The 15,498-nt window shown below is 51.4% G+C and overlaps 1 protein-coding gene across 17 annotated transcripts in view, besides 2 other annotated features; it reads left to right on the top strand.

The window, feature by feature from the left end:
* ATP2B2 (ATPase plasma membrane Ca2+ transporting 2) overlaps positions 1-15,498 on the top strand; it is a 384,094-nt gene that overhangs the window by 229,322 nt on the left and 139,274 nt on the right. Inside the window, exon 1 of one of the 17 annotated variants that reach the window (XM_017006482.3) lies at positions 7,762-7,871. The exons of the other annotated variants lie outside the window; for them this stretch is intronic. The gene's annotated coding sequence lies outside the window, so the exon portion shown is untranslated. Of the gene's footprint in view, positions 1-7,761; positions 7,872-15,498 lie in introns of those variants that run through there. 17 annotated transcript variants of the gene reach the window in all.
* Positions 7,088-7,700: an enhancer, noted in NCBI's record as "H3K27ac-H3K4me1 hESC enhancer chr3:10512779-10513391 (GRCh37/hg19 assembly coordinates)". NCBI's record gives its function as "activates a minimal SCP1, AML or CMV promoter by ChIP-STARR-seq in primed H9 embryonic stem cells {active_cell/tissue: H9 hESC(primed)}" and the evidence as "EXISTENCE:reporter gene assay evidence [ECO:0000049][PMID:30033119]".
* Positions 7,701-8,315: an enhancer, noted in NCBI's record as "H3K27ac-H3K4me1 hESC enhancer chr3:10512164-10512778 (GRCh37/hg19 assembly coordinates)". NCBI's record gives its function as "activates a minimal SCP1, AML or CMV promoter by ChIP-STARR-seq in primed H9 embryonic stem cells {active_cell/tissue: H9 hESC(primed)}" and the evidence as "EXISTENCE:reporter gene assay evidence [ECO:0000049][PMID:30033119]".

Raw genomic sequence — 15,498 nt, 5'->3', positions numbered from 1 at the left:
CAGTTAGAGGCCACAGCAGTCACCTAGGCAAGAGATGAGAAGAACTAGGACAAGGACATGGGCTGTGCAGGGAAATTATGGGTTTCAAGAAATGTAGGAAGGAGGAAAATGAATAGGACTTTGATGATGGAGAAGAAAGAGGCAGGGGTGGCTGCTGGATTCTATGCTGACCACCTGGAGAGAAGATGAGGCCTTTGGTGGCAACAGCAAATCCCAGGGGAGCAGGAGGTTGGATGGGAAAGCTTAGAGGTTGAATTTCAGATACGTTGAGTCTAAATCCCTACCTCACACCACACACAAAATTTAATGGAGACAGAAGACATAGGGGAAAGCTTCATGACACTGAATATAGCAATGATTTATTGGCTATGACACCAAAAGCACAGACAACAAAAGAAAAAGTAGATAAATTGGACTTCATCAAAGTTAAAAACTTTAATGCATCAAAAGATACTATCAACAGAGTACAAAGACAACCCATGGAATGAGAAGAAATATCTTCAAATTACATATATGATAAAGATTAATATCCAGAATATGTCGAGAACTCCTACAACTCAACAACAAAAAGACAACCCAGTTCAAAGATGGGCAAAGGACTTGACTTGACATTTCTGAAAAGAAGATACACAAATGGCCAATAAGCATGCGAAAAATGCTCAGCACCACTAGTTATTAGAGAAATGTAAATCACAGGGAAATGCCAGTTCACACCAATTAGGATGGCTATCACCAAAAAACAGAAAATAGGTATTGGCCAGAACGTGGGGAAATTAGAACACTCTTGCATTCTAGTAGGACTGTAAAATGGTGCGGCTGCTGTGGAAAAGCATATAGTGGTCCCTCAAAAAAATCAAACAGAATTATTCCACGATCCAGCAATTCCACTACTGGGTAGATACCCAAAAAATTGAAAGCAAGGACTCAGATATTTGTTCACCCATGCTCATAACAGCATTCTTTGGAATAACTAAAATGAGGGAACAATCGAAGTGTCCATGAATGGATCAACTGATAAATCAAATGTAGTCTGTTCATACAATGCAATATTACTCAGCCATAAAAAGGAAGGAAGCTCTGAGCCATGCTACAACATGGATGAAACTTGAGATGCTAAGTGAAATAAGCCAGCCATAAAGGGACAAATACTGTTATGATTCCACTTATATGAGGTCGCTACAGTAGTCAAACTCATAGAAACAGAAAATGGAATGGTGCATGTGCCAGTGGATGGGAAAGGAAAAGGGAGTTGGTGTTGGATGGGGACAGAACTTCAGTTTGGGAAGAGGAAAACGTTCTGAGATGGGTTGTGGAGATGGTTGTGCAACAATGAGGATGCACTTAATGTCACTGAACTGTGCACTTAAAAATGGCTAGAATGGTAAATCCCATGTTATGTAGACTTAACCACAAAAAAGAGAAACGTAGATGAAAAAATTAAATTGAGAATGCTCATAGACCTACTTGTAAAAGCTACAGCTATGAAACTTCCAGAGCGAACGCAGAAGAGCATCTTCCCCATCTAGAAGTAGGGAATGATTTTTCAGAGAAAACACACACACACAAAAGCACCAATCTTAAGAGGGAAAGCTGAAACACTGGGCTTGAGATCTGTTGAAGCTGAAGTGTGGGGACAACTAGCAGGAGAGGCCAGGCAGGACACTGGTGTCTGCTGCATGGTGAGGCCTGGCCTGGAGGAAGCCACACATTAGGCTCCTTATTTCAGCTAACATTTCAAGCCAAAATCTGCATTTGGAGCCTACCTCAGGTCACCTTCTTATGACCTACCAGACTAGACTAAGTGACTTTGAGTGGCTTCTAGAATGCTCTAGCTGCAGATGCCCAAGCAGATGAGCCTCTGAGTACTTCCCTAGGTGCCTGTTCTGCTAAGACCCAGCACCCCCAGGGTGTGGCATAGACCCTCCATCTGCTTCCTCACTGGCGAGGCTTAGGGCTCATCTGCATTAGCTGCTCTCTGCCCAGCTCTGTCATACCTTCACCCCCTTCCTCAGGGCTAATGAAGGAGGCAGAAAAAATTTAATTTCCTCTAAACTAGAGGCTGATCAATTATGGTTAAAGGAACTTGGTGTCTGGAATAATTAGCTTTGCGTTTGCTTGGGAAAGAGCACCATCCACATCCTTTCTCCCTCCCGCCAAGCTGGCATGGAGGGGAGTTACTGACTACAGGATCCTGTGCCATGCAGCCACAGAAAAGCTGTGGAGACTCACAGTGAGGGGTGATTCTCTAGTGCTTTACCTTACTGGGGGTCTCCAAGCATGGGGCCCCAGCCTTGACCCTTGCTCTCTCTAACCATCCCCACGCACCCGTTGTTCCCATGCTTTCTGGGTCTGCCATCTTGGTGCTATTTCTACACGGCCTTTATTGAAAAGCAGAGAGTTGACTTGGTCCTACTAGGCCTTGATTTTGAGTCCTTGTGGGGTGAGGGCTTCAGGGATTCCTTTGAGAAGCTAGTGAGAGCCAAAGGCTTCCTCCCCAGAAAAACACAACCTCTTACAAAGAATGTTGGTAGGTTCATGGCCCCTTCTGAAGCTCTCCACGGCTTCAGCTAAAGATGGCCTGATCTGGGGCAACCTGTCATAATGCCAAGGCCCTGCAAATGCTTCCCAGTTTCACCAGCTGGTTATCTTTTGGGGGTGATATGATTATGCGAATTTTGCAGACAGAGAAACTTGCTTAGCGGGGTAACTCATGCTTCCTGCCTGGTCCCTAAAGGAGTAACTGGACCTATAAACCAGGAATTCTCAAACTCACCTTCTCCTCCTGTGCAGTCTGGAATCCCCATCTCCCTACACCTGGCTGATCTGAGTGGGAGGATGGGGTTATAAAGTAGTGGTCGAAGACCCTGACCCCCTAACCAGAGAAGCAGCCCCTGGAGGACAGAGCTTTTGTCTGAATCACCTTCAAGTCCCCAGCATCCAACTCAAGGCTCAGAATCAACCGACTGCAGGGCCAAGTAGGAGACAGCATGAGGCATTGCAGACGGGGAAGGGGGCTTTGGCTTTGGCAGCAGAAACGCACTTAGACATCAGCTCTGTCCACCCTGGCTCTGTCCTCTGAGCCTTTCTTTCTGAGTCTCAGTTTCCCTGTCTATAAAATGGGAACTGCAGAACTCCTCTAACAGGGTTAGGCCTATAAAAGCCTAGGCAGGCATGTGTAGTGATCCCTCATCACAAAGATGAAGAAACTGAGTCCCAGAGCAAGGCAGTGACCTGTCTAAGGCCATGTGGCAAGTAGTAGAGCTGGAATCAGAGCACAGATCTGCCTAACCCCAATCCGTGCCCATGACCAAATGTGTGGTGCCCAACACATAGTAGGTGCTCAATAAATCATCCAGTTGTCCCTCTCCCCTTACCTGTTCCCCAGCCAGAGAGGCATTCTGCAGGAGCCTGCAGGTGGTAACATTAAACAAGACAGAGCAATAGTAGCCCAGAGGGTGGGGGAGCTCTGACATGACCCCTGCAGGACAAGTCCCCCACCTCCCCCATGTGCTACTTGATTTCCTACACAATAAAGTCTCTTGTCATGAGCGCAGAGCAGTAGTGAAGAAAGATGAACTTGATTGCTCTTTTTCTTGCTTTTGTCTCTTCATTTTTTCCTCCTCCTACTGCAGTGGCAGGTGGGAGGCTCAGCAAATGTTCAGTGTGGCCACCCCTCGTGCTGACGCCCGCTCACCTCCTCCCTCTCTTAACCGTCCTTCCTCTGAGTCTGTTCAGTGCAGAAGCCCAGGCTGAAACTGGAAGTGGTTAATTCGGACATTCTCAGCCCAAGCTGTGATGATACGTTTCAGACGTGGGGTGGTGACATGGGGACACTGAATGCATGAGGGTTCACCATGAGCCATGGACATGCTGGGCCAGGGACACAGAGACAGGTCAGCCCGCTCCCCACAAGGGGCTCCCAGAAAGACAGTGATAGTGTAGTGTGTCCAGAAGGCCATGGAAAGTCTGCCCAGGAGGTTAGAGAAAGCTTCACTGGCCAGCACTTTAGAAAAGCATTTGCCTTTGCCCATGGGAGGGCATTTATGGCAGGGGAACTGCCTGGGCAAAAGCCTGGAAGTGTGGAACCTTACAAGGTGCTTATTATGGCAGGAGGGAAGGTTACAAGGAACGGGTGGAAGGATATGAGCCTGAAGAAGCAGGCAGGCGTGTGTGTCAGGCTAAGGATTTTGAACCTTGTTCTGAGGGCAGTGGGAGCCAAGCAAGGCACCTAGTCAGGTCTGCCAGGGTGGCTGCGTGGCTCCGGTCTCCTCCTCTACCTGACCTCTAATGGCTGGGGCTGGGCTCTGAGTCTTTTCCCTTCTCTGGCTGAGCTATGTCCCTCGATGATCTCATCCCATCCCATGGCTTTAAATACCATCTTTAAGCTGCTGATTTCCATATTTATATCTGTAGTCAGGGCCTCTCTTCTGAGCTCCCAACTCATGCATCCAACTGCCCACTTGGCATCTCTACTTGGACGTCTCACAAGCATCTCAAAGTTAACAAGTCCAAAACAGGATTCTTCATCATGCCTACCCAACCTTCTCCACCCACCCCCAAAAGCCTGCTCCCTTCCCCGACCCACTGCAGTAAATGGTGCCACCATCCACTCGCCCTCTTCCTAATGGCATAGCTCAGGTTATCAGCCTACTGGTTCCACTTCCTAACCCACCCACCCACACCTCTCCAACACCACTGCTGCCCCTGCAGGCAAGACCTGTCCCTACCCACCTGGATGACACAGTAGCCACCTCACTTCCTCCCTGCTCTCAATCTCACCCTGCCAGTCCATTCTCCAATGCATGACAGATCCGTGAAAAAGGGAAAAGTACGTTAATCTATCACCTAAAATTCTTTAGAGGCATCTCTCACTACCTGGAATAAAATCCAAGTTCCCAGCGGCTTCAAAGCCTGGTGTGATCTGGCCCTTATGCTTCTCTGAACTCACTTTGCCTGATTCTCTCTCATCACAAGCCCCAGCCACGTGGCCTTCTTTGAGTTACTAAAAGCATGTCTTGCCCCTTCCCACCTCCAGGGTCTTTGCCTATGCCGTTCACTCTGCCTGGAACATACTGCCCCAGCTCTTTGCACATCCCCCTGGCAAAACAGATGCCTGGACAGTCTCAGTCATAATGCCTTATTCTCTTCATAGCACTTTTTTTGTGTGACAGAGCCTCATTCTGTCACCCAGGCTGGAGTGCAGTGGTGCAATCTTGGCTCACTGCCAACTTGCCTCCTGGGTTCAAGTGATTCTCGTGCCTCAGCCTCCTGAGTAGCTGGGATTACAGGTGTACACCGCCGCACACAGCTGATTTTTGTATTTTTAATAGAGACAGGGTTTCACCATGTTGGCCAGGCTGGTCTCAAACTCCTGGCCTCAAGTGATCCACCTGCCTCCGCCTCCCAAAGTGCTGGGATTACAGGCATGAGCCGCCACACCTGGCCTGCTCTTCATAGCACTTTTCAGTCTGTCTTCCCTAACAGAAGCAAGTGCAGAGGCAAGTACAGTATGCTTGGCATACAGTAGGTGCTCATTAAATGACTGTGGAGTGAACAAATCAGAGAATAAGAGAAGGGGACCTAGAAGTAGGAGATTGGGCAAGAGAGAGTGAGACCTGAAAGGACAATGCAAATAGAGGAAAGGAACCAGCATCAGGCCAGATGTCTGGATTTAATCTTAGGGGCACTGGGGAGCCACAGAAGGTTCCTGAGCAGAGACACAGACATGGAGATGATCATTAGTACAGGGAAGGCTGTATGCCTGGTGGTCATGTAAATGGGCTCTGAAATCAGACAGGCTTAGATCAGATCTTGGTTCAACAACTTACCAACATGGGTCCTCAGTTTCCTCCTTTGTAAAATGGGACCTGCTGAAGATCCTACAACTGGGGCTACTGAGATGATAAATGAGGCAGTGCACATCAAGTTCTTGTGAAATAAACATTAGCCGACACTGCTACTGTAGGGTTGTCACTTAAGCAACTTATGTGTGTCTGACATTGCACTTGGTGCTGGGGATACCCGGGGAACCTGAACCAACCCCTGCTCACAGTCTGGTGGGAGATGTTTACCTGTCTGTAGTTCCCCAGGATCCACTGTACAGAAGGTAGAAACCAGGCAGAGAATTAATTCTGGGAGAATCAGGGGAGGCCTCCCAGAAGTGACATTGGATTTCGGGGAGACAGTTTCCTTGAGAGAATATTTTGAGTCAGCAGCCACTGGCCCGTGAACAAGAGAAGAGCGGTGTGTTTTGGCTGCTCAGCTCTCAAAATAACCCGAATCCGAGGGCGGACAGCCCCGCAAGCCTCAGGAGCTATGCCATTTCAGGCCAGGTTCCTGCGACCTTGGAACAGTCCTTGCCCTGCCCCGCAGCGTCCCCCCAGCAAGAGGTCTGGGCAGTCAGTGCAGGCACCACAGAGACAGGCCCTCTCTCCCCTGGCACATGGGTCACTGGGCTCTCCTGAGACCCAACTCATCTTTGCATTTGGGCTTCTGAACCAGTGCCTTGACCAAAGACCAGCAGGTGGCAAGAGGGCAGGCTCAGAGCTTGGCCACTGCCCTCACTCTTTCCTCCGGGCCTCCCGGCTCCCATCTTCCTGCTTCGGTCTCTGTGTCTTGGCTTCAGTTCCTCTGTGTCTTCCTCTGTCTCTGCGTCCCTCCCTCTCCCTCCCTTCTTAGGTCTTGATGTATCTCTTTTTTTTTTTTTTTTTTTTTGAGACGGAGTCTCGCTCTGTGGCCCAGGCGGGAGTGCAGTGGCGCAATCTCGGCTCACTCCAAGTTCCGCCTCCCGGGTTCACGCCATTCTCCTGCCTCAGCCTCCCGAGTAGCTGGGACTACAGGCGCCCGCCACCACACCCGGCTAATTTTTTTGTATTTTTAGTAGAGACGGGGTTTCACCGTGTTCGCCAGGATGGTCTCGATCTCCTGACCTCGTTATCCGCCCGCCTCGGCCTCCCAAAGTGCTGGGATTAGTATCTATTTTTTTAAAAGAAAATTATTATTAATTTTTTTAAATTAATGAATCATAATTGTATACATTTATGGGGGACAATATGATGCTTTGATGTATACAGACACACACAATGTGGCATGATCAAATCACACTAATTAACATATTCGTCACCTTCCTTGCCTATCATTTTTTATGGTAATATCGATTTCTCTTTTGAAGTCAGTCTCTGTTTCTCTCCCCTCTCCCTCTTCCGCCTCCTTTCCTCCCTCCCTCTCCTCCCACTCCTAGCCTCTCAAGTTCCTCTCTGCCTGACTGTGTCTTTCCTTTCTCTTTCCCCTCCTCCCGTACCCTCCCTCTGCTCAACTCCCTCCAGTAAGAGGCTTCCTAGAACACACACACACACATCTGCACATGCACACGCACGCACACGTGCACGCACACAAACACACACACACACACACACACACACACACACACAGGTTTCCTGAACCCCTTTTAAAACCAAAGTCCAAGCTGTAGACTCCCGTGGCCTGGAACACAGGGAAGAGGGTGGGATTGGCCCGAAGGGGTGTGTGCTGAGGCTAATGGCAGGGAGGGGGTCTCCTGCACCCTGGCCTTCACCCGCACCCTCACAGCCGCGCGCTGGAGACACTGTGCTGGGGGCAGGGAGGAGGCTTCTGAGCGGGTTCCCTGCTGCGTGTGGCTGCTGTGCTTCCCGGGCAAGTTGGACTGGGCAGGTCGGACTGCGGATCGGGTTATTGGGCCCATTCAGCAGAATTATAAATAGCAGCTTGTGCCTGGCCTGGCCCAGAGAACAACCAGGGCTGCCGCAGGGCCCCCCAGGCCCCCCGTTCTCCACCCCTCCAGCCATCGCTCTGAGGCAAGGCCTGTTGTCCCCCGTGCTGTCAGTGGGTCCCAGGTCAGTATCCGATGTGCTGTCGCCATAGCAACCTGCATGTCCCTGTCTCAGGTTACGAGACATGGGGGTGGGGGAACTGAGGGACAGGTCCAGTGGCCTGGAATCAAAGGTCACTGCTCTGTGCTGGGGCTTGCTGACTCTCTTGGGGGCTGGGAAGTGGGGTCCTGTCCCCTGGAAATCTCACCACGCTGGAGGAAGCTGAGGCAGAGATGCCCCGAGGCCTGGCAGAGGGGCACAACCCCAGGACTCTGCCAGTGAACTTGGCACAGTGGGTCAGGCCCAGACCTTGAAGTCAGAGAGACACAGGAAATCCTTCATCCTCACCTATTGCTTAGCTCATCCTGGGACCACCATTTAACCCTCTTGAGCCCAGCATACCCCTCACCCCCTGCCCCAGTGTTACTGAGGAGATCAAAGTCAACCAGCTGGGAGGCAGGTCCCTCAGTCCTGTACTTAACTCATTAGTCCCTGGGGACAGTGTGGCTCAGGGTGAAGCTCACAGACTTTGGAATCACACTGGCCTGGGTTCAGATCTGACCTCTGCCATTCACCAGCTAGGTGATCTTAAGCAGGTTGCTCAATCTCTCTGAGCCTCAGTTTCCCCATCTATATAATGGGCATGAAAACAACACCTACACCTGTGTTGTTTGAGGGTGAGATGGGCAACAGTGGCAGAAGGTGCATAGCCCCGGGTCCTGAAGGTAGCAGCTATACTTGTCATTGTTGTCACTTTCCGAACTGCTATTTCTATTTCAACCTCCTCGTCAGAGACAGCCCTGCCTTCCTTGATAACTCCCTGGGTCACTTCAAGTGATTCCTTTTCCCTCCCAGGTCTGTTTTCCCATCTGCAAAATGACCACAGGACCACTCAGGCCCTGCCCAGCGCTGAGATCTGCCTATCTTAAGCAGCCCCCACGGGGGCTGCGCTGTTCTATTATTATATACTGACACCCTCACCTGGGTCTGGGCTCCTGAAATCTGAGCTTGGTGTGAGTGACATCCTGCATGGTTGCCAGGCAACCAAGGCGCGAGCTGGGAGGCTTGGGTGTCAGGGTGTCCATCAGCAGCCCTCTCCCCAAAGGCTGGAGGGAGCAAGAGGGCTTAGGGCAGATCTTTGCCTGGCTAGCCCAGGAAGGACTGCCCCTCCTCTCATACCTGCTCAAGTCCACCCTCTCTTGGAACCCACTTTCTCAGGGTGAAAGGGGCTGCTGGCCTGGGATATTTTTGTAGATGGAGCACGTGGTCAGGCTCAGAGAGAGAAACTGGAGTCTCCTTGCACTGCTATCTGATACAGCTGCTGTCACCATCACCCTCTTCCTGGAAGTCTGCAGCCTAAGTGTGCCCAAAAGCATGGAGAATTCCCTGACCCCCTCAGGGGGCCTGACGCTGGCTTCTGGAGCTTCCAGGGCTCTTTGCACGGGCCCTGAGCCACGCTTAACAAATCATATCACCCTTATATTTACCTAGCCTCCCTGCATGACCTCTTGTATTTTCATTCCTTCACCTAACAAATGCTGTATTGAGTATCCATCCCAGCTCCGCTGTGTTCTGAGTGACCTTGGGCAAGTTACTTGCCTTAGTTTTCTTTTCTATAAAATAGAGATAATAAGAATACCTGCCTCATAGGGATGTGATGTGGATCGGATGAGATGACGTGTAAAAAGTGCCTCTTGCAGGGCTTGGCACATAGAGAATGCTCCATAAATGTTAGCTTATTATCATTAATTTTATTCAGTTGTTATCATGTGCAGGCCCCATGCCAAGTTAGGAGGGAGCAGTACCAGGCTTTCTGAGGACAAGGGCTGTATCTGGTTCCTCTCCATCCACACTGCATTACACATCGAAGTCGATCCACAGCAAAAGTTTGCGAGATGAGTGGAAATAAGAAATGAACAATTTGCCCTGAAATTCATTACTCAGCTCGTGTGGAGACGTTAGCTTTGAACACCTTTTATAGCTCCAGGTATTCCTCAGGCTCTCTTAACGGCTTCATCATCCACAAAACTACCGAAGTGTGTTTGAAATCTCTTTGTCAGTTTTCAGTCTCTGCCCTTTGATTGGGGTGGGGTGGAGCAAGTGGGCCCATGAGTACGTCAGGCTGACTTAAATGGCAAGGCAGACAGATGGCAGAGGAAGCAGGACTTGGCACTGATAGGAACCCAAGACGAGACCTGCCTTTCATTTCACTCCTTCAGCGCCTCACTGGCCTCACCCTGGTCCCAGCACCGTCTGAGTGACCTGTATCAAGCAGGTCACTTGTCCCCTTGGAGCCACAGACCCCTCATCTGTAAAATGGGCACCTTGCTCCCACTTTCCAGGGTTACAGGTGAGACAAAGGAGGCTGCACTATGATGAACTCCCTCAAATAACAGTAATTATTTATAGCAAGATAACAGTGCTGTAGGAGAGGGCTGGGCTGGTGGCCGCTCCTCCCTGGGGCCTGCCATGCGTCAGCAAATCAACATTGGGTAGCCGCCAGCCCTCTGGCCCAGGGCCGTTCCTAACAGCAGGTGATGCGGCCAGGCTGATGGTGCCAAAATTTCATCCTTGACTTCTTCCAAACAGGAAGGGGCTGCCATCTGCTTCCCACCCCTCACACCCAGCCCGCTGGGCCAGCCATGGCCCCTGTACTGTGCCCCACTAAGGGCCCTGGCCTCGCACCTGTCAGCCCCACCAGGAGTTCCCTTAGTGGATGCTGAAGCTGGGGGTACCCTGAAAGCATCCTCCTGTCTGTCCCACAGCCCACATGGACACTGGGCAGAGAGGAGGGGAGCAGGGTGGCCCTGTCTTTCCATCTCCCCCAGAACCCCGCCTCCCACTTCCCTGGCATCTCCACCAAGGGGCAGCCCCATTAGTGCTCCTTCCAGATCCAGGAGCCTATTGAGTGTCGAGGTCATGTGCACAGCCTTGGGACTCAGGGCCTAATGCAAATCCTGGTCGGGCCATTCCCTGGCTCTGTGACCTTGGCCAGTCATCCCACCTCCCTGCACCTCGGCTTAAATAAGGGTACCTTCCTGGGATCAGGGGAGAGCGGGATTATTGAGATACTGCCTGGGGAAAAGGTGGAGACAAGGAGCAGCAGGGGGTGGTTATAAAACTTTGCTGCTCTCACGCTCATCTCTGTGACTGCCGCTGCTCCTCCAATGCCATTACAACATTGGCCATCTCCCCGCCAAAAATGTTACCTCGTTTCCTCCGGTTCAGTAACGGTATCCTACCTGTAGGCTGGGGCTCGGTACACAGCAGGTGCCCAGTGCATGTCCTCTGCCTTTTTATTCAAACATAAGCGTGGAAGGAGGGGATGAGTCCTGACCCAGGAAATCTTGTTCTTTCCCAGTTTCTGGGGTCCAGCCACAAGTTTCCGTGGCCACTTTTCCACGTGCCCACTCAGCTAGCTTTTGCCATGTGCCAACTGTGTCTGCCAGGTGTGCTGGGAACTCAAAAATGGTTGGACCCTAAAGGGCATGAGCGGTCAAGCCCCATGGAGGGATCAGCTGACTGCCCGGAGAGTGGGGTTAGCATAGGATTTACTCAGGAAGGGGCCCCTGGAGCGGGGCTCTCAAGGGTGAATAGGAGTCCACCAAGCAGAGAAGCAGAAGGCAGGGAATAGCCTGTGCTAAGGCATAACCAGTGGTCCACAAGGCAGCTCTGAGTTGGTTTTTTATTATTAAAACAAGAAAATTTCCCCATGTAGATGTTTCAGTGGCCAGAATATTACTCTGTCTGATCCAAGGACACAGACAACCCCATCAAAGTAGAGGTTGAGGGTGTCATGACCAGAGAGGCCCCTCCCCTGGGCTCCAATCCAGTGTCAAAGACTTATCACAAGTCAGCATGTAGAAGTCTCTTAGAAGCCATCTAGCCCAACCTCTTTAGTTTTCAGGTGGGGAAACTGAGGCCAAAAAGAGAAGAAGGTGGAGCAGGAGCAGCTAATGGCAGACTTCATTACCAGGCTTGCCCAATGCCTACCCACCCATGGTGGGTGTGACCAGCTGTGGGGCCGCATGCTCTGCTCATGATTGTGAGCTGCACGGTCACCCCTGGAGATGTCGCTATCTCTGGGATGCAATGCAGGCCCCTGATATCTCTAGCCTTAGTTTTCTTACTTGTGAAATGGAAATGGTCAACGGATCCTTTTGAGCTTAAAACTGAAAAGCATCTAATGAACACTCATATAATTCCATTTTGTTGTTCTGTCATTGGGTTCAGGGTAAACCTGAATGGCAGATTTTCCTGCAAGCTAAAGTCATCTGTTGGCATGGTTTGGGGGTTCAGGGGCCACCCTGCAGACAGCTCCAGAGGCAGTGATGAAGTTTCTGCTATAGGTTAGCCTTTTATTCTCTTCTGGAGTCTTCATGGGTGCCCCCTTTTTTGCTACCCATCCACCTTCCAAACTGAGACACTAAGACCCCCACTCCAGGTAGTAAAACTGTTCGGCCTAATTGCTTCCTCACACCCCACCACACACACATAGTCTAGACAGAGTCTTATTTCCGAAATGCACATGCTTTCTGCACACCTCAACACCCAGCCCACTCAGACGTGTGCAGGCTAGCTTATACACAACCACACACATCCTGGCCTGCACAGACACGCATCTATGCATGCACACGTAGACATGAACTTCAGTGGACAAGAGGGAGCAGGACTATTCTGTGCTGCACTGATAGTAGGTCATAAAACACTCAGTAAATATACAACAACAAAAATTGTTAGCATGAAGAAAATCTCAGCTCAACCTAAAAAGCTTTGTGACCACCAGCATTGACACAGACTATCCTGGACAAAGAGAGTGAACTCCCTGTCAAGGGGGGCATGCAAACACAAGCAGGGCTTAACAGAGATGCTGTAAAGGGCTTAGGCATCACAGGGATGTTGACCTTTGAGGTCCCTCCTGATCTCTGGATTCAAGCAGGTTTGGGGAGTCAGGGCCTCTTCTGAGCTTTGTAAACACTGTTCCCTTTTGGTGGCCTCTGTTCTAGAAGTGTCTCTTCTTCCTGCGGTACCATCACAGTAAAGGACCTGGTGGTTAGGGACCAACTCAGTGCAGGCCTGGTGCCATCAGGATCTGGGTCAGCCACTAGAGATGCACACACCTGCACACGCCCCCCAACCTAGCACCCATTTCGTAGCAGGCCCAAACCTGGAGAAAGAAACAGAGGTGGCAGCTCCGGCCTTGTCAGTCCCTTATAACAAGGAGTCAGAAGTAGTGAAGACCTGATTTGAATGTTACAAAGCAGGAGGTCTCAGGACAAAAATATCTACAGGGGCAGGGAGTAAGTATGGTGGGCTGGAGAAAGATCCTTTGACTTGAAGATTTGAACCTAGGTTCCAACCACATCTTAAACCCAAAACCTAAACTCTCCTAGATCATGTCTCACAGAGGACAGATCCTAGAGGCAGCATGACATGAGGCCTGGGATTCAGGAGAATTTTGAAATGCAGAAGGATGGTACTGGAGGAGCTGGGGCTGTGCCCCACTGGGAAAGAGGGAAGCAAACAGCACCTCCCACTCTTTCTCTGCCAAGTTGCCTGTCATCAGACCCAGGGCTTCAGAGAAAGAAGGCAACTGCAAGGCTGAGAAAGCAGAAGGGAGCAGAGCTTGGCAGGGCCATTGCTGATTGCTGGGGACAAGGAGAGGCTGCTGGACATGAATACCTCCAGAGTCTGAGGTTTGGGGTCTCCTGGAGCCTTGAAAGCACTTTGGCACTTGAACTCTTAAACGTTCTGGCTGAGGGATCTGGGCAGGACTTGAACCTACTTGAGAAGCTGAAGGAGTCACACCAGGGCTCAGGGGAGAGGAGGCTTGGGGCTGGTTCTTGGCAAGTCATGAGGACAGGGTATCTTCAAGGTATCCCTTAGGCCTCCCCAGAGCAGCCCAAGATTGGAGAAGGGCCTGGCACTCAGGGAAAATTTGGCCCAAGGATGAAGGTGGGACACATTCCTGGAGCATCCATCCCTGGGGTAGAGGTGGGTGGCAGGCTTAGGAAGGTGAGTCCTCTGACTGGCCTTGGGCCTGAGCCCAGCTCTGCCAGCACCTGCTCCATGGCCTTGCACCAGAGCCTTCCACCTGAGGGCCTCCATTTCCCCATCTAGAAATCACTGTCATCCCAGTTTCTAGTTTCTCTCGCTGGCTAGGCTCTGGGCTGAGCCCTGTGCCCTGCATTAACTCACATTTTCCTCCCAACAACCCTGGGAGGGAGGGGCTGTGATTGTCTCCATTTCAGAGAAGTGACAACTAAGGCCAGAGAACGACTTAAGTGGTTTCCATGGAAGGTAGAGGCTTCTGGGGATGGAGGAAGTTCCCAGGAGGAGACTGCACTGGGGGTTGCAGATCTAGGGACCCTGAGATGGATAAGGTGGTAACAGGCAGAGAAGAGAGGAGAGGGCATTCCAGATAGCAATCTTGGTCATGCTATGGTGTGGAGCTAGGGCTGCTGTGGGGGCCATAGACTGTGGGAATGGAGGGAGCCAAGCTATACCCTGCCGTGTCCTGGCTTGCTTTTATTTGGGGGGCTTGGAGCCTCAGCATCAAACCCTTGGCTCTGTGCAGCTTCATCAAGGCTAGGGTCCCCTGGGCCTGTGTCCCCTGGGAGGCTGCATTCGCATCTGTCCCCGCGCAGATGGCTGGTGAGCACAGCTAGCAGCCCCCACCCCCACCCGCACCCCCTTCTGTCGCGAGGACTCGGCTGCGCTGGGGAGTGTGGTGCGGCATTATTTTTAGAAGTGGCACCATCTGTTCAAGGTGCCGGGTGGATTCTGTTCGTCTCCGCAGTGGCCAGGGACAGACATGCCAAGTCAGGGGAAGAGCTACAGAGCTAGTCAGGCCCCCCCATGGTCACACTTCAGCCAGGATGGTCACTAATCAGCATGCGCACAGGGCATGGGGTTCCAGGGTCTGGGGTCTGGGGTCTGGGGCTTGGGGCTGCCAGTGGGGCAGCTCTGGGGCCAGGAGAGCGGACGCAGAGGATGAGTTTGAGGTAGGCAGCGGCATGTGCCCCCCCACACCCCACCTGGTCCCTGGGACTGGGCCCAAGGGCTGCCTCCTGGCAGATCAGAGTGTCCTGGCCCTGACCTCCAGGTTTCAGGGACGAATGGAGAATAGGCAAAGGAGAAAAGTACAAAGGCTGGACCATAAGGATCCTCAGTGGGACCCAGCACTGGGTGTGGCAGAAGACACCGGCCTGGCCAGAGTAGCCCAGAGGACTAGGACATCTCCCCACTCCTGACCCACATGCTGCAGTGTGTTCCACTGCCTGAGGGGCCACTGTGTAACACTGTGATCCAGAGCAGGGGCTCTGAAAGCAGCCTGCCTGGGCTCCAATCCAACAATTACGTGACCCCGCGCAATCTCTTTAACCTTGCAAAGCCTCCATTTGCTCATCTGTGAAAGGGGATACCAATAGAAGCTCCTTCCTGGGGTTCATATGTGGATTTGCTGGTTTGATGCCTATAAAGTGTGGCACGTGTCCGGCCCTCAGCAAGAATGCATTTGGCATAAGTTATTCCTACCATCTGGTTGGCCAGTTTCTGCTTTGAAAGGCAGGTGTCACCCTAATATTCCTCGCTTCCCATGTCATTCCATAGTCCAACTGCTTTCTCGGTCATGGAACCAGACCTGGTGGAG

Source organism: Homo sapiens, chromosome 3 (genome assembly GCF_000001405.40).
Source record: "Homo sapiens chromosome 3, GRCh38.p14 Primary Assembly".
Classification (NCBI taxonomy): Eukaryota; Metazoa; Chordata; class Mammalia; order Primates; family Hominidae; genus Homo; species Homo sapiens.
The sequence above is the reverse complement of the archived record's forward strand: the minus strand, read 5'-3'. Positions and strand labels throughout refer to the sequence as shown.